We start from the raw sequence: 18,719 nt of genomic DNA, 5'->3' as shown, positions 1-18,719 counted from the left end.
AGTCCTTTGCATTTTGCCCTTCCTCATTCTTCTTACCTCATTCTGTCTGGTGGCACTGCAGCCACCCTGGAGCCATGAGGTGAGTAATATGAGCTATGGATGCCAGGGCAGGAACACAGAATAAGCCTGGTTCCTGGACATCAGTTAGGTACTGTACCAGCCTGGACAATCTATGCCAAACATTCTTGTTGCGTGAGCCTAACTAGTTCCTTATTGATTTAAATCAGTTTGGTGGGGCTTTCTGAAATCCCACCCAAAATGTCGTCCTCTTCGAAGTGCTGCATTAAGCCAACTATTCCTAAAGTATGGCCCAAGAAAACATAAAAATCCTTGAAGAGTTAAATGCTAAATCCCCTTCTGAGAAAAATAACAAGCACAATTAAAAGGCTGCGAGAATTGAGTAAGAGAATTTAACACTGTTTCACCAAATCTGTCTTAAACTTAACCAATCCTTGGGCCCCTGGGAATTCTATTAACACCTTTAGGGTGTGAACATACTTTGAAAATTGCTTCCTTAAACAAAATAAGCAACTTTAACAATTTGACTGTCAGGCAATATGGAAAGGCTGGTTCTTAGGCAATATGAAATGGGAGACAGGGTACCTTTCTGACTCCTTATATTATTATTGCAGTCAGCCACCTCTGTCTTCAGATGGCAAGAACTGAGCTTTTCCACAGAAAGGAAAGGGCCTCTAGCCCAGTGGCTCATAGACTTCCTTTCCTCCACTCCTTTACTCCCTTCTACAATCTCATGAAATAGATTCTTTTTTTTTTTTTTGAGATGGAGTCTCACTCTGTTGCCCAGGCTGGAATGCAATGGCACGATCTTGGCTTACTGCAACCTCTACCTCCCAGGTTCAGGCGATTCTCCTGCCTCAGCCTCTCGAGTAGCTGGGATTACAGGTGCCCAACAGCATGCCTGGCTAATTTTTGTATTTTTAGTAGAGACGGGATTTTGCCATGTTGGTCAGGCTGGTCTCGAACTCCCGACCTCAGGTGATCCGCCTGCCTCGGCCTCCCAAAGTGCTGGGATTACAGGCGTGAGCCACTGCGCCCGGCCTGTAATTTACTTTTTAAAAATCGATTTCATGGGCCGGGCATGGTGGAGAAACCCCATCTCTACTAAAAATACAAAATTAGCTGGGCGTGGTGGTGCATACCTGTAATCCCAGCTACTCGGGAGGCTGAGGCATGAGAATCGCTTCAACCCGGGAGGCAGAGGTTGTGGTGAGCCAAAATTGCACCATTGCACTCCAGGCTGGGCAACAAGAGCGAAATTACAAGCCAGGTGTGGTAGTGCATGCCTATAGTACCAGCTACTCAGGCGGCTGAGGCAGGAGGATGGTCTGAGCCCAGGAGTTCAAGGCTGCAGTGTGCTATGATCATGCCTGTGAATAGTTGCTGCACTCCAGAGTAGGCAGCAGAGGGAGACCCTATCAGTCAATCAACCAATCCATCAATAGTAAATTACATGATTTTCTAAAAAGAAAAAAAGCTGAAATACTGATTTGTATCCAAACTGATTATTTTTTAAATAAACCAATTCTTGAAAATCAGAAGTTTTGGCCGGGGGTGGTGGCTCACACCTGTAATCCCAAAGCTTTGGGAGGCCGAGGTAGGCAGATCATCTGAGATCAGGAGTTTGACACCAGCCTAGCCAACATGGTGAAACCCCATCTCTACTACAAATACAAAAATTAGCTAGGCATGGTGGCGGGCACCTGTAATCCCAGCTACTTGGGAGGCTGAGGCAGAATCGCTTGAACCCAGAAGGTGGAGGTTGCAGTGAGCCGAGATTACTCCATTGCATTCCAGCCTGGGCGACAAGAAAGACACTCCCTCTCAAACGAAAAAAAAGAAAAGAAAATTGGAAGTTGTACATTTTAGGTACAAATGTACCCCAATAGAAGAATTAATAAAAAGAGACAATGCACCGGATGTGGTGGCTCACGCCTGTAATCCCAGGACTTTGGGAGGCTGAGGCAGGTGGATGACGAGGTCAGGAGTTGGAGACCAGCCTGACCAACATGGTGAAACCCGTCTCGACTAAGAATACAAAAATTAGCCGGGCATGGTAGTGCGCGCCTATAATCCCAGCTACTCAGGAGGCTATGGGAGGACAGTCACTTGAACCCGGGAGGTGGAGGTCGCAGTGAGCTGAGATCATGCCACTGCACTCTAGCCTGGGCAACAGAGCGAGACTCCATCTCAAAAAAAAAAAAAAAAAACAAAGACAATGCTAGCAAAGATAATCAATAGACAACCCATTTGCCACATTCCCTGTGTGTTGCCAAGCAGATGAATCCAACCTCAGACAGCAGCTTCTTCAGATCCCAGACCAAATTTTTCTGAGGTGTTTTATTTGTAGAATTAGAAAACTGGATTATGTATGGGTATCTATAGTGTGAGTCGGAGGGTCGGGATAAAAGTAGTGGTGTCTTTAACATCATTTCACCAGGTGCAGTGACACATGCATGTAGTCCCAGCTACTGGACCCACCTACTTGGAAGGCTAAGGCCAGAGGATCACTTGAGCCTAAGCATTCAAGCCAGCCTGGGAAATGTAGTGAGACTGTCTCAAAAAAGAAAAAAAAGGTTATCTCATCCGATCTGTTAATAAGGACATGAAACAGCCCAGAGGTGGCTTGACTCAGGTCCCAGGAACCAGTGGCATGAGCTATCTGCCCAGGCCTCCATTCCCAGCTCAGTGCTCCCTCTACCTGTCCATGTTGCCACTTATTGTTCCAGTCAAAAGTTATTAGGCCAGGTGCGGTGGCTCATGCCTGTAATCCCAGCACTTTGGGAGGCCAAGGTGGGCTGATCACAAGGTCAGGAGTTCAAGACCAGCCTGGCCAATACGGTGAAACCCCGTCTCTACTAAAAATACAAAAATTAGCCAGGCGTGGTGGCAGGTGCCTATAGTCCCAGCTACTCAGGAGGCTGAGGCGGGAGAATCACTTGAACCCGGGAGGCGGAGGTTGCAGTGAGTTGAGATCGCGCCATTGCACTCCAGCCCGAGCGACAGAGCGAGACTCCGTCTCAAAAAAATAAAAAAAAAGAAGTTTATTAGTGAATTATTAAGACAGAGTTTTGCTCTGTCGCCCAGGCTGGAGAGCAGTGGCATGATCTCAGCTCACTGCAACCTCCTCCTCCTGGTTTCAAGCGATTCTCCTACTTCAGCCTCCCGAGTAGCTGGAATTACAGGAGTGAAACACCACACCCAGCCTACTATTATTTTTAATGTTTGGTGAGGGTTTATATATATATTCTTTATCGATTTAAGAAAGGTTCCCTCTACTTCTGATTTTCTAAGACTTCTTTTTTTTTTTTTTAAATCATGAATGGATGGTGAGGCCAGGCAAGCTGGCTCACACACTTTGGGAGGCCGAGGCAGGTGGATCACCTGAAGTCAGGAGATCGACACCACCCTGACCAACATGGTGAAACCCCGTCTCTACTAAAAATACAAAATTAGCTGTGTGTGGTGGCGCATGCCTATAATCCCAGCTACACTGGAGGCTGAGTCAGGAGAATCGCTTGAACTTGGGAGGCGGATGTTACAGTGAGCTGAGATCACGCCACTGCTCTCCAGCCTGGGCGACAGAGTGAAACACCGTCTCCAGAAAAAAAGATAAATAAGTAAATAAAATAAAATGAATGGATGGTGAATTTTATCAATTACATTTTTCTATGGAAAAGACCACTCAGTTTTTCTTCTTTAAAGTGTTGGTGTGGGTGAAATATATTGGTTGATTTTCTAATGTTAAACCAACTTTGAATTTCTAGTATAATTGCACCTTGGCTATAATACATCCTTGGCTTTAATACATCTTTGGCTTTAAATATATATATATTATATTTTATATTGCTGGATTCAGTGTGTTAATATTTTGTTTAGGATTTTTACAACTATGTGAGTAAAAGAGATTGGGCTATAATTTTCTTTTCTTTTCTTTTTTTTTTGAGACGGAGTCTCGCCCTGTTGCCCAGGCTGGAGTGCAGTAGCGTGATCTCGGCTCACTGCAAGCTCCGCCTCCTAGGTTCACACCATTCTCCTGCCTCAGCCTCCCGAGTAACTGGGACTACAGGTGTCCACCACCATGCCCGGCTAATTTTTTGTATTTTTAGTAGAGACAGGGGAGACGGGGTTTCACCATGTTAGCCAGGATGGTCTCGATCTCCTGACCTCGGGATCCACCTGCCTCGGCCTCCAAAAGTGCTGGGATTACAGGCATGAGCCACTGCGCCTGGCCCCTAATTTTCTTTTCTTACGCTGTCTTCTATAAGATTGACAGGTGTGGCTGGGTACGGTGGCTCACGCCTGTAATCCCAGCACTTTGGGAGGCTGAAGTGGGCGAACTGCTTGAGCCCAAGAGTTCGAGACCAGCCTGGTCAACATGGCGAAACCCCATCTCTACTAAAAACACAAAAATTAGCTGGGTATGGTGGTGCATGTCTGCAATCCCAGTTACTCAGGAGGCTGAGGCACGAGAATCGCTTGAACCTGGGTGGCGGAGGGTGCAGTGAGCTGAGATGGTGATATTCACTCCAGCCCAGGCGACAAAGTGAGACTCTCTCAAAAAACAAAACAAAACAAAACAAAAAAATTCTCAGGCAAAAGTTACGCTAGCCTCATAAAATGAGTTGGGGAGAAGAGTAACTATCTTTATTGAAGTATAAATAATATACAATAAGCTGTACATATTTAAAATGGACAGTTGGGGCCAGGCATGATGGCTCGTGCTTGTACTCCCAGCACTTTGGGAGGCCGAGGTGGGTGGATCACTTGAGGTTAGGAGTTCGAGACCAGCCTGGCCAATATGCTGAAACCCCGTCTCTACTAAAAATACAAAATAAATAAATAAATAAATAAAATGTACAATTGGATAAGGTTTAACATATGTACCCACCCATGGCACCATCCTCACAATCAAGATAATGACCTCCAAAAGTTCAACCAGGACTTTCACAAGAATCATATTAAGAAAACATGGGCCGGGCGTGGTGGCTCACGCCTGTAATCCCAACACTTTGAGAGGCCGAGGCGGGTGGATAACCTGAGGTCAGATCTGGGCCAGAGCATAAACACATGCAACTATAGAGTGACTGCTACTGTCTTTTTTTCTTCAGAACACAGAAGCCCATATGTGGCAACTTTCAAGAAAATAAACGCTTCTCGCTGAAGAAATTCCCAACTCAAAAGCAAGGGACGCTAACACTGACCTGAAGACTGTTTTGGTTTTTGCTGATAGAAATGTAAGAATACGTTGGGTTGCTCCTGAATCTGCCCTGAGTAATTTCATCCTAGGATGAAATGCCAGTCACTGCTAGTAGGAAAACAGGGAATTATCCCTAGGAGCAACAAAGAACAGTGGCAGTTAGCTCAGGGTACACCAGCACAGCAGCAGCTCCTTGACTCTTAGTCAACCCTAAGGACAGACTAAATAACAGCATTTAACTAAGTGTCATCAGAATTACCTGGCTGCCAATAATCTGATTTGGCAATAACTGAATTATCTGATGTAAATCTCAGACAGTACCTAAAAGCCATTTAGTTAGCTTTTATTTATTTACTTATTTTTTTCTTTTTTGGGATGGAGTTTCACTCTTGTCGCTCAGGCTGGAGTGCAGTGGCACGATCTTGGCTCACTGCAACCTCCACCTCCTGGGTTCAAGCGATTCTACTGCTTCAGCCTCCCGAGCAGCTGGGATTACAGGCACCCACCACCACAGACGGCTAATTTTTTTTTTTTTTTTTTTTTTTTGAGACGGAATCTTGCTCTGTCGCCCAGGCTGGAGTGCAGTGGAGTGAGCTCTGCTCACTGCAAGCTCCGCCTCCCAGGTTCATGCCATTCTCCTGCCTCAGTCTCCGGAGTAGCTGGGACTACAGGTGCCCGCCACCACACCCGGCTAATTTTTTGTATTTTTAGTAGAGACAGGGTTTCACCATGTTAGCCAGGATGGTCTCGATCTCCTGACCTCGTGATCCACCTGCCTCGGCCTTCCAAAGTGCTGGGATTACAGGTGTGAGCCAAAGCGCCCGGCCGATGGCTAATTTTTGTATTTTTACTAGAAATGGGTTTTTACCATGTTGGCCAGGCTGCCCTTGAACTCCTGACCTCAGGTGATCTGCCTGCCTTGGCATCCCAAAATGCTGGGATTACAGGCGTGAGCCACCATGCCCAGCCTAGTTAGCTTTTAAATAGTGGAGACATCTGTCTATGAAAACACAATGAGCCATTTCAAGTTTTCCCAGGTCATCTCCTTTGTCTTATAACCAGGACAGGACTCTGCACATAGCAGGTATTAAATAAATGCTTACTAAAGGAAAGAATAGTTCCTGCCCACACTAATAAGCAGGCAGAGTCCAAGCACAAGTTCTCGAGGAGCTCTCCACATACCTGTAACAGCTCATCACGGGAGATCTTTTCATCTTTATCCAAATCATATAGTCGAAAAGCAACTGTAAGGGAAAAACACAAAGTTAGTCAAAATTCTGTAGTGTGTTGCCCCTTCTCAAGGAACTAAATATATAAGACACTAGACAGAAAACTGACAGCCAATTAATCGATTTTCCAAGAACAATTGCCATTACTTGTAGGGCTTTTAAAAAGTTGTAACACTGAAGAATTGAGAATTGATGAGTTCTTAGATTAGATGAAGTATGGTCCCTCTTCCAACAAATCAGAAAACTTCATACAAAGAAAGCCAAATGTCCTTTTTCTTAACCTAGAATGTTAAACGCCCCCCCCCAAAACACTCCTTACGTGGTTCTGTAAATTAGGTCACCTCACACAAACATCAAATCTACCAGGTACCACTCAGGGAAAACCAACAATAGGCACCACACAGGCACCATGAGAGCTGACCACAGCTTTGGGAATAGAGCCTCCTGGGCAAAATTGTCTCAAATTTCAAGTAATTCTCTACCACTTGGGAGTCCTGGAGGTAAAGAAATTGAGTTTCAAATAAATATGATGGCTCAGATGGTCTCCTGGCTTTATCATGTTTCTTTCTCTTTAAGCCTTCTAGAAACTAGGAGATAGGAGAACTTTGCTTGGGTCCATGAGATAGGAATCAGAAAGCAAAATCATTAGATTTCTGCCATGTTGCTGAAGGGCTACCAAGAGAATAGGGTGATAACACTGGGTGATTTTATAGGTGCCGTGACAAATCGCCAGCCTGAGGATGTGAATGTCTTGTCCCACAACTGAATTTAGCTTGGTTTTTAGGTTTTGAATCACTTCAAGAATGCCACTAAGATTAAGGGTCTTAAATAGAGTGCTGCAAATACTAAAAGGCCCGAATCCACTGCTCTAGAGCTATTAAGATCCATGGATTTAGACTCTGTCCTTAGGAACTCACTATCTAGTAGAGGAGGGCAAGACACACGACTCTCGAGTACATCCTAAGCACTACAACATATCCAAAATGCTGGGGGAACAAAGTGTATGGCAGACGTGGCTTTCTGGTGCAGCTGGGGAAATATCAAGGAGAGGTAACATTTGAACAAGGCCTTGAAAGACAAACAGAAATGAGACAAGGGGTGGTCATTCCAGGCAGAGCGATTATTAGGCACAAAGGCATAAGAACATGGATTAATATCTACAGGTTTAAATATCACTCCCCTCCAAAATAAAATGGTGAGTCCACTAAGATGACATAAAAGTAATTTTAAAATCTAATTTACTCCTTGTAAGGTATATATCAGAATTCCAGAGAAAGGAAGTAGCTAGGAGAGACTTCATATATATGTATTTTTTTTTCTGCTCTGTTTAATTTGGTTGGTTTATTTTATTTTATTTATTTATTTTTTTCAGACAGGGTCCTGCTCTGTCTCCCAGGCTGGAGTGCAGTAGCACAATCATGACTCACTACAGCCTCAACCTCCCAGGCTCAAAGGATCCTCTCACCTCAGCCTCCAGAGTAGTTGGGACCACAGACACCACACCTGGCTAATTTTTAAAAATTTTTGTAGAGCTAGGGTCTCACTGTGTTGCCCAGGCTGGTGAAAGGTGCAAGGTCTTTGTCTAGATAAATTGTTTTTTGTTGTTGTTGTTGAGACAGAGTCTTGCTCTGTTGCCCAGGCTGGAGTGCAGTGGTGGGATCTCAGCTCACGGCAAGCTCCGCCTCCTGGGTTCACGCCATTCTCCTGCCTCAGCCTCCCGAGTAGCTGGGACTACAGGCGCCCACCACCACGCCTGGCTAATTTTTTGTGTGTGTGTTTTTAGTACAGACAGGGTTTCACCGTGTTAGCCAGGATGGTCTCGATCTCCTAACCTCATGATCTAACCGCATGATCTAACCACCTCGGCCTCCCAAAGTGCTGGGATTACAGGCGTGAGCCATCGCGCCTGGCCTGAATTTTTTTTTTTTTTGAGATGGAGTCTTGCTCTGTCGCCCAGGCTGGAGTGCAGTGGCATGATCTCGGTTCACTGTAACCTCCGCCTCCCGGGTTCAAGCAATTCTGCCTCAGACTCCCGAGTAGCTGGGATTATAGGCATGTGCCACCACGCCCAGCTAATTTTTGTATTTTTAGTAGAGATGGGGTTTCACCATGTTGGCCAGGATGGTCTCGATCTCTTGACCTTGTGATCTACCTGCCTCAGCCTGCCAAAGCCCTGGGATTACAGGCATGAGCCACTGCGCCCAGACAGCTGGTCTTGAACACCTGGGCTCAAGCAATCCTCCTGCCTCAGCCTCCCAAAGTGCTGGGATTATAGGTGTAAGCCACTGTGCCTGGGCCTTCAGCTCAAATTTCAACTCCTCAGAGAGGTTTTCACTGACCACTCTTTCTATAGTGACATCTCCCTATGCCTTTCTCATCTCATGTATTCACTTCCTTCACAGACCTTGTCACCACAATAAATCTTGTTTATTCACCCGTCTTCTCTATAGTCTGTCTCTCTTATTAGATCATAAGTTCTAAGAAAGCAAGGGCCTTACCTGATTTATTCATCACTGTATCCTGGGCCTAAAATAGTACCTGGCATGTAGTAGGTGCTCAAACATTTGTTTAATGAAAAACCAAAGGAATGATCTCAGTCAAACCTTTACCTTCCTTTTTTATGCTTTTTTTTTTTTTTTTTTAAGAGATAGGGCCTCACTCTGTCACTGGAGTGCAGTGGTGCAATCATGGCTCACTGCAGACCCAAACTTCTGGGCTCAAGTGATCCTCCTGCCTCAGCCTCCTGAGCAGCTAGGAATACAGGCATGTGCCACCATGCCCAGCTCAATTTTTTTTTTTTTTGTAGATACTGTTGCCCAGGTTCTGTTGCCCAGGCTCTGTTGCCCAGGCTACAAACCTTTACCTTTACTTCAATCAATGCTATTGCTTCTTTTTTTTTTTTCTTTTTGGGAGACGGAGTCTTGCTCTGTCACCCAGGCTGGAGTGCAGTGGCGCGATCTCAGGTCACTGAAACCTCTGCCTCCCGGGTTCAAGCAATTTTCCTGTCTCAGCCTCCTGAGTAGCTGGGACTACAGGTATGTGCCACCACACCCAGCTAATTTTTGTATTTTTAGTAGAGACAGGGTTTCACCATGTTAGCCAAGCTGGTCTCAAACTCCTGACCTCAAGCAATCTGCCTACTTTGGCCTCCCAAAGTGTTGGGATTACAGGAATAAGCCACCATGCCCGGCTGCTTCTTTTTTTTTTATTGTGGTAAAATATACATAAAATGTATCATTTAAACCTTTTCTACAGGTACAGTTCCGTGGCATTAAGTACTTTCACACTGTTGTGCAAGCATCACCACCATCCATCTCCCCATAACTTCTGCATCTTCACTAGCGGAAAATGTACCCTTTTAACAATAACTCCATTACCATCACCACCACCATCCCCCAGCCCTGGGCAACCACCGTTCTACTTTCTGTCTCTACAAATTTGACCACTCTGGAAACCTCACATAAGAGGAATCATACAATATTTGTCCTTTATATCCACTTTATTTCACTCAGCATAATGTCTTCAAGATTCATCCATGTTGTACCATTTGCCAGAATTTCCTTTTTTTTTTCGAGATGGAGTCTTGCTCTGTCGCCCAAGCTAGAGTGCAGTGGCGCAATCTCAGCTCACTGCAACCTCCGCCTCCTGGGTTCAAGCAATTCTCCTGCCTCAGCCTCCCGACTAGCTGGGATTACAGGTATCCACCACCATGCCAGGCTAATTTTTGTATTTTTAGTAGAGATGGGATTTCACCACATTGGCCAGGCTGGTCTCGAACTTCTGATCTCATGATTCACCCACCTTGGCCTCCCAAAATGCTGGGATTACAGGTGTGAGCCACCGCTCCCGGCCTCAGAATTTTCTTTTTTAATACAGACTAATATTTCATTGTATGTGTACACAACATTTTATTTATCCATTCATCTGTCGATGGACACTAGGATTGCTTCTACCTTTTGGATTCTTTGAATAATGCTGCTATTTCTTCCTGGCTACTCTCCCAAGCTCTACTCCGCCTATACTCCTCAACACCCAAGAAAAATATTCTAATGTAGACTCTTTACTTTCCACATCATTATGTGTTATAAAAACTTAAACCATTTAAGAAGACAATTAGAATGTGGGAAGGAAAACCTGTAGACCTCTAGACTTCTCTCTTACTTACCATGCCCTGGGCCTAAGATGAATTATACCTTTCACTTTTTTTTTTTTAAACACTATCCACCTGTAGATAGGGTTGTACCTTTTACACAAAGCACTATTATTACTATTATTATTATTATTCTTTGAGATGGAGTTTCACTCTTATTGCCCAGTCTGGAGTGCAATAGCGTGATCTCGGCTCACTGTAATATCAGCCTCCCAGGTTCAAGCAATTCTCCTGCCTCAGTCTCCTGAGTAGCTGGAATTACAGGCATGCACCACCATGCCTGGCTAATTTTGTATTTTTAGAAGAGACATGGTTTCACCATGTTGGTCAGGCTGGTCTCGAACTCCTGACCTCAGGTGATCCACCCACCTCGGCCTCCCAAAGTGCTGGGATTACAGGCATGAGCCACCGCGCCTGGCCTACAGAAAGCATTATTATAACCTCACCAATCCAAAGAGGAAAGCAATAAGGTACCACTTCCAGGAGACAAACAGAAGAGCAGAGTGGCACTATGTGTGCTTGGGCCTGTGCCTACATGGGCATAGTTCAGCCTTGCTGATCGTGATTAAAATTCTCTCACCGTGGCTTAGAAAAGAAATAGAACAAAGTGTGTTCTCAGAGTTCCTGAAGACAGTATTCTATGCAAAGTATAACCCATAATAAAATTTGGTTCCACTCCTCTGTAAACCCACATTTCTTTTTTTTTTTTTTGAGATGGAGTTTTGCTCTGTTGCCCAGGCTGGAGAGTAATGGTGCAATCTCGGCTAACTGCAACCTCTGCCCCCCAGGTTCAAAGTATTCTCCTGTCTCAGCCTCCCGAGTACCTGAGATTACAGGCGCCCGCCACCACGCCCAGCTAATTTTTTGTATTTTTAGTACAGACAGGGTTTCACCATGTTGGCCAGGCTGGTCTTGAACCCCTGATCTCAAGTGATCCACCCGCCTTGGCCTCCCAAAGTGCTGGGATTACAGGCGTGAGCCATCATGCCTGGCCTGTAAACCCAGATTTCTAAGTAACACATCTCCTTTTTTTTTTTTTTTTTTTTTTTTTTTTTTTTGAGACAGAGTCTCGCTCTATCACCCAGGCTGGAGTGCAATGGCATGATCTCGGCTCACTGTAGCCTCCACCTCCCAGGTTCAAGCAATTCTCCCGCCTCAGCCTCCTGAGTAGCTGGGATTACAGGCATCCACCATTATGCCTGGCTAATTTTTTTTGTATTTTTGTAGAAATGGGGTTTCACTATGTTGGCCAGACTTGTCTCGAACTCCTGACCTCAGGTGATCCGCCTGCCTCAGCCTCCCAAAGTGCTGGGATTACAGGCGTGAGCCACCGCACCTGGCCCACATCCCCTTTCTCTAAGGTAAATGTGTCTCAGTGGCAAATGTATTGCTAGGTATATGACATTCAATTGCTCTCAGTCTACAGTAAGAGGCACCATGCTACAGCTTATACAGCCCTGTGGGAACTTCAAAGAGAAGCAACACATTTAGACAGAAATTGAGGACTTCTCGGACTCTTCTAGTCTTTTCTTTGGCATTAGAATAGCTTCGGTTTTACTGGTCTAATTACATGAATGTGATCCCTATACATAGACTGCAACAGAATTCTAATTAATTTTTAGCTTCCTATAAAAGTTAATCCAACAGCCAAGACTAAAGTATGTAATGAAAAAAACAGGCTGGGTATGGAGGCTCATGCCTGTAATCCCAGCACTTTGGGAGGCCAAGGTGGGATGACTGCTTGCGTCCAAGATTTCGAGACCAGTCTGGGCAACATAGTGAGACCCTGTCCCTACAAAAAATTAGAAAATAAAAAATTAGCTGGGTGTAGTGCACACGCCTGTGGTCCCAGCAACTTGAGAGGCTGAGGCAAAAAGATCACTTGAGCCAGGAAAGTCAAGGCCATAGTGAGCTGTGATCACGCCACTGCACTCAGCCTGGGTGACAGAGTGAGACCCTATCTCAAAAAATTAAGCAAAAACAAAATAAAACCAAGCATAACCTGCATAGCACTTTGTTATTATTCTATCTCATCCTGAAGTCTGCCATTTCTGTGGCATTCCAACCTTTTTCCTTAGCAGAACCCCAATCACAGCATCAGGAGGGGAATCTCATTAGCCTAATCTCCTCGGCACTCGCACTCTCCTGACCTGAACTGACTTATCAAAGTGAGGGGAAGGACTTACATTCCATGCTTGGGAGGAGTGTTGCTCAATTTCAGTCTCGATCTCTCTCTATATATATCTCTCTTCCTCTACTGCCAGATGTGAACAAGAAAAAAAAAAGCCCTGTTAACAACTGAGAGCTGCCATGTGACCATAATACTTTAGGATAAAACAGACTATGAGGATGGCAGAGTAAAGAGAAAAATCCCTAGTTCTTGAAACAGAATCAACCCTCCTGCCGGCCTAATCTGACTTGTAAAGTGAGCTAATATAGTTCCCTATTGTTTAAGCCAGCTGAGTCAGCTAAAGGTATCCTAAGACACCATGTAACGCCCAAATCCACTAGTGCTATTTCGAAGATTTTGTTTTGTTTTCTTTTCTTTGTTGAGACAGAGTTTCTGTCACCTGGGCTGAAGTGCAGTGGTGCCATCAAGGTTCATTGCAGCCTCAACCTCTCAGGCTCAAGCAATTCTCCCACCTCAGCCTCCCAAGTACCTGGGAGCACAGGTGCCTGCCACCACACCTGGCTAATTTTTGTATTTTTATTAGAGACAATGTTTCACCATGTTGCCCAGGCTGGTCTCAAACTCCTGGGCTCAAGTGATCTACCTACCTTGGCCTCCCAAAGTGCTGGGATTACAGGCATGAGCCACTGCGCCCAGCCTTCAGTCAGTTTTAATACAACTGTAATTTCAACTTGTACTGAATAAAAAGATAAATTTAATTTCAATTTCCTGGAGAAGTGTTGTAAGGGATTGGGCAATATTGTACATGAACCAATAAGGGCAGAAGGGAAGGCAAACAAGTATTAAAGGAAAAGAGGCATGAGACACGGGTATAAAAATTAAATCTTGCACTGTATCCAGCTGTCCCCCATTACTTAAGTCACATCCAGTGTCTATCAAATTCTAAGATGAGCTGAGGATTGCCATTATTCCTTAAAGGTGGGGCCTGGGTCTTGTTCACTATTGCCATGCTAGCACTTAACACAGTGCCTGGCACACGGTAGGTGCTCAATGAATTATAATGATACTAGGTAACACTTATTAAGTACCTAGTATATGCCAGGCACTATGTGAAGCACTTGACATTTATTAACTCATTTAATCCTCACAACAATCCAATGTGGAACCCCTTAGTATCCTATTTTACAGAAGAGAAAACTGAAGCCCAAAGAGGTTAAGTACCTTGCCCAAAGTCACACGACCAAAAAAGGGTAGACTAGTATTTAATCTTGGCCAGTTTAGCTCCAGAGTCTGAGGTCTTAACCAGTATGCTCTTGTAGATGCTTGTTCAAATAATGAGTGAGTAAATACATGACTTTTAAGAAATGAAAAGCAAGTATTTTAAGCCAGAAGACTTTAGCTCCTTACAGTGCAGTTTGTTGCTTCGGCTGTTGAGTGGTTCGGGTCCATTCACATCTTTGCTCTTTTCATTATCCTCAATGGGGCGGAAATGAGCCAAAGTTCGCATGAATCCACGGAAGTTTACCTGGTCCTCTCTGATTGTGAAATATAACAAACACAACACCATGTCAATCACGGTGATTATTTCTTATGAATTAAATATACTGGCAACAGCTTTAGCTACGGTAGCCTGAAAGGTCATTTAATGAGGTTTCTTTCCATACGCATGGTACTTTGGGACTCACAGTACCATATCATTTAAGCCTCACCCCAACCTTGTAAGGCAGGTGCTATTACTCCCACTTTATAAATGATTTAACCAGATTTAGGTAACAGGACTTACCAGGGATAAAGTTATCTATTGAATTTACTTGCATCTGTTTTCCAAAAAATGAATGTAGAGTAGTGCCAGCACTATACAAGACAGCCAGAACTTGAACTCATTGCTTTGAACTCTGCAGCGAGCCACAGGCAGCCCAATGACTCCTCAGCCACCTCCCACATCTCCCCCATCTCCCCTGCAGTAATGTATACCAAGGGATATTTTAAAATTAAGGCACATTATGGAAAGGCCGCTTTTAAAATAAAGTTTATTTAATTTTTAATTTTTCTTATTTATTTATTTATTTTGAGACAGAGTCTTGCTCTGCTTATAAATAAATAAAGTCTTGCTTTATTTATTTATTTTGAGACAGAGTCTTGCATCCAGGCTGGAATGCAGTGGCACTACCTCGGCTCACTGCAACCTCCGCCTCCCGGGTTCAAGCAATTCTCCTGCCTTAGCCTCCTGACTAGCTGGAACTACAGACGCCCGCCACCATGCCCGGCTAATTTTTTGTATTTTTTTTTTTTTTTTTTGAGATGGAGTTTTGCTCTTGTTGCCCAGGCTGGAATGCAATGGCGCGATCTCAGCTCACTGCAACCTCCGCCTCCCTGGTTCAAGCGATTCTCCTGCCCCAGCCTCTGGAGTAGCTGGGATTACAGGCATGCGCCACCACGCTCAGCTAATTTTATATTTTTAGTAGAGACGGGGTTTCTCCATGTTGGTCAGGCTAGTCTCGAACTCCCGACCTCAGGTGATCTGCCCGCCTCAGCCTCCCAAGTGGTGGGATTACAGGTGTGAGCTGCTGCACCCAGCCTAATTTTTTGTATTTTTAGTACAGACAGGGTTTCACCGTGTTAGCTAGGATCGTCTCAATCTCCTGACCTCATGATCTGCCCACCTCGGCCTCCCAAAGTGCTGGGATTACAGGCATGAGCCACCATGCCCAGCCAAGTTTATTTAATTATAAAAGCAAACATAAATTTGAAAATGTGGAAAAAAGAAAAGTAGATAGAAAAATACTGATCCGAGTTCTACCAATTACAACCACAGTTAATATAAATATATTTTCTGGCTGGGCACGGTGGTCCATGCCCATCATCCTAATACTTTGGGAGGCTGAGGCAGGCAGATCACTTGAGGCCAGGAGTTGAGACCAGCCTGACCAACATGGTAAAACCCTGTCTCTACTAAAAATACAAAAAAATTAGCTGGACGTGGTAGTGGGCACCTGTAATCCCAGCTACTCGGGAGGGTGAGGCAGGAGAATCGCTTGAAACTGGGAGGCAGAGGCTGCAGTGAGCCTAGATTGCACCACTGCACTCCAGCCTGGGTGACACAGCAAGACTATGTCAAAAAAAAAGAAAAGGAAAGGAAAGGGAAAGGAAAGGAAAAGGAAGGAAAAGGAAAGGAAAAGGAAGGAAGGGAGGGAGGAAAGGAAGGAAGGAAGGAATCAATCAATTAATCAATCAATCAATCAGCCAGGCATGGTGGCTCACGCTTATACTGCCAGTTATTTGGGAGGCTGAGGTGGGAGAATCACTTGAACACACAGGAGGCAGAAGTTGCGTGAGCCGAGACTGCGCCACTGCACTCCAGCCCAGGTGACGGTGCAAGACTCCCTCATATATATATGAATGCATTTTCTTCTAGTAACTTTTCTATGCTTTTCAGATAACTGTATTAGTATCCTGCCTTTTTTTTTAACTTTTAAGCATTTCTCCAATCAATATAAATACTTTGAAACATTTAAAACATATGCATAATTCTGTGGACACATCATGATTTTATTATTCCCTCATAATTGGATAATTTTTCTCTAAATAATCTTTTAGGCCAGGCACAGTGGCTCACGTCTATAATCCCAGCACTTCAAGAGGCCAAGGTGGGTGGATCACCTGAGGTCAGGAGTTCAAGACCAGCCTGGCCAACATGGTGAAACCCCGTCTCTACTAAAAATACAAAAATTAGCTGGGCCTGGTGGTGCATGCCTGTAATCCCAGCTACTTGAGAGCCTGAGGCAGGAGAATCACTTGAACCCCAAAGATGGAGGGTGCAATGAGTCGAGACTGCACCACTGCACTCCAGCCTGGGTGACAGAGGGAGACTCCATCTCAAAAAAAAAAAAAAAAAAGTTTTGAAAGACCTCTTGTGTATAAAGCCTTTTTGGTACTTAAGCTTGGAGAAAATCTTTTCATTGTGCCACAGGCTAATCAATAACCCTGTAAGAAATAATTCTCAAAACTTGAATGAAGAATGTTCTTTAATATTAAAAAAGAATGCCCCATGTAACATAATATAATTTATTTATCTAAGGCAGATGGCCTGGTTCCTGTGGTTACCTAAAAAAAAAAAAAACCCCAGCCTTTCTGTGCCCCACCGAATAGCTGAGGTATGTAGGTTCTCTTCTGTGCTCTATAGACATGCAGTTCATAGCCCTTCTAAAGGCAGAGTTCAAAGGCTAGCCTGTGAGCCATCTGTACTCAAAAGAATGACCTTGGCTGGGTGCAGTGGCTCACGCCCATAATCCCAGCACTCTGGGAGGCCGGGGCGGGCGGATCACCTGAGGTCAAGAGTTCAAAACCAGCCTGGCCAACGTGGTGAAACCTTAGCCAGGCGTGGTGGCGTGAGCCTGTAGTCCCAGCTACTTGGGGAGGCTGAGGCAGGAGAATCACTCGAACCCAGGAGGCAGAGGTTGCGGTGAGCCAAGATCACACCACTGCATGCCAGCCTGGGAGACAGAGGGAGACTCCGTCTCAAAAAAACAAAAAACAAAACAAAAGAATGACCTTTTAGTTCTTCGATGTATCTATACTGCTAATGGACCAGTATCTGGTCAAAAATGTCAGATCTGAGGAATCAAGTAATGTGGAGTAAAGTTTAAAACATATGCTAGAAAAAACACATTAATGATTATTGCTAGCATAAAGTTTCTGGGTAAAAGGGAATTGAATAACCATGGTCCACTTTCAAATCTCATTCTTTAAAAAAAAAAAAAAAAAAGCCCCAATGTGCATATGCCTAGGGAAGAAAGAAAAACCCAGAAGCCAAATATATCTATCTGATTAGAGCAAGAAGCAGAGTCGCAGCTTGCTAAGAGCTAAGCAGTGCAGCCCAGTAGAGCCCTCCACTTCCTCATATGCACTCTGTCCCATTTCCTTAGCAGTAGATTGGTGGACAGAATGACAGGTGATATTGTAGTCACAGCAAATGTAGTTTAGTCTTACAAAACAGCTTCCCACAAGCTGCTTCTTCAAGTAATCAATGGTGACTAAGGAATTCTGAAAAAAAGTTGGCAAAGTGACTCTCCTGGGTTTACTTTTCATTGCAAAAGGTTTGGATACAAAGCATAGCTGTGAAAGTTATCTCTGGATAGGGTTCAATGCTTTGCAGGGGTAAAAGAGGAATTAGAAAAAAGGAAGAATTCAGCATAAAAACCACACCTGAAACAAACAGGGCAGTTCAAGGAGAGAGAAAGGAAAAAATGAAAGAGGGCATAAGATTCCTCATAGTCAACGTGATTTGATTCCCATCTTTACATGAACTAACTGCCCGACCTAATTCCCCTTCTGACTTTCACTCACATTTCCTGAATGCCCAACCCTCTCAACTAGCAAATTCCTTTGCTCTCAATTTAGAGTTCTAAAATTTCCTCTCCAGGCATTTTATCTGACAGTGTCCTCATTGACAGTCTCATTATTAAAAACTGGCACCCATATAATATTTTGAAGTCCTGTGGGTCATAGACTATCCATATAAACCAGGAATAGATTGTTTAGGAAATTACTTAAAACAAGCTTATATGTAAGTTTTATTGTTGAAAAGGTACCTAATCAAATCAGTAAATATTTACTCACTACTGTGAAGGCAGTGTATTAGGTAGTAAAGCATATCAAAAGACTAGTTTCATGTTAGAAAAACCCACATTAAGAACAATCTACTTGACAAAGCATATGTGGTGAGAACTATGTTTATTCAATATCACGAAAGTAAAATAAAGGCTGGGGAAATGTTCCAGATTAAAGGAGGCTAAAGAGACATGACAACTGACCCAGACTAGATCCTGTACTGGAGGCGGGGAAGTGCTATAAAACAGATTATTGGATGACAAAATTGGAATATGAATATAAATTAGAATAAACTGGATAATATGTTAATAAAACAGAGTAATAGATTAGATAAGAGGATTGTATCAATGTTAAGTTTACTGAAGTAGATAACTATACTAT

The 18,719-nt window shown here is 44.0% G+C and overlaps 1 protein-coding gene across 4 annotated transcripts in view; it reads right to left on the bottom strand.

Annotated features, from left to right (window-relative positions):
- Window positions 1-18,719, bottom strand: part of CHP1 (calcineurin like EF-hand protein 1) — a 50,620-nt gene that overhangs the window by 4,869 nt on the left and 27,032 nt on the right. For 3 of the 4 annotated variants that reach the window (NM_007236.5, XM_047432125.1, XM_047432124.1), the window contains 2 exons: window positions 14,136-14,263; window positions 6,401-6,462 (listed from right to left, as the gene is read on the bottom strand). In NM_007236.5, coding sequence (NP_009167.1) covers window positions 6,401-6,462; window positions 14,136-14,263 — 190 coding nt within the window. Of the gene's footprint in view, window positions 1-6,400; window positions 12,855-14,135; window positions 14,264-18,719 lie in introns of those variants that run through there. The other variant, XM_017021879.3, reaches the window with a different exon arrangement.

Source organism: Homo sapiens, chromosome 15 (genome assembly GCF_000001405.40).
Source record: "Homo sapiens chromosome 15, GRCh38.p14 Primary Assembly".
Taxonomy (NCBI): Eukaryota; Metazoa; Chordata; class Mammalia; order Primates; family Hominidae; genus Homo; species Homo sapiens.
This window is presented reverse-complemented; position numbering and strand designations above follow the sequence as displayed.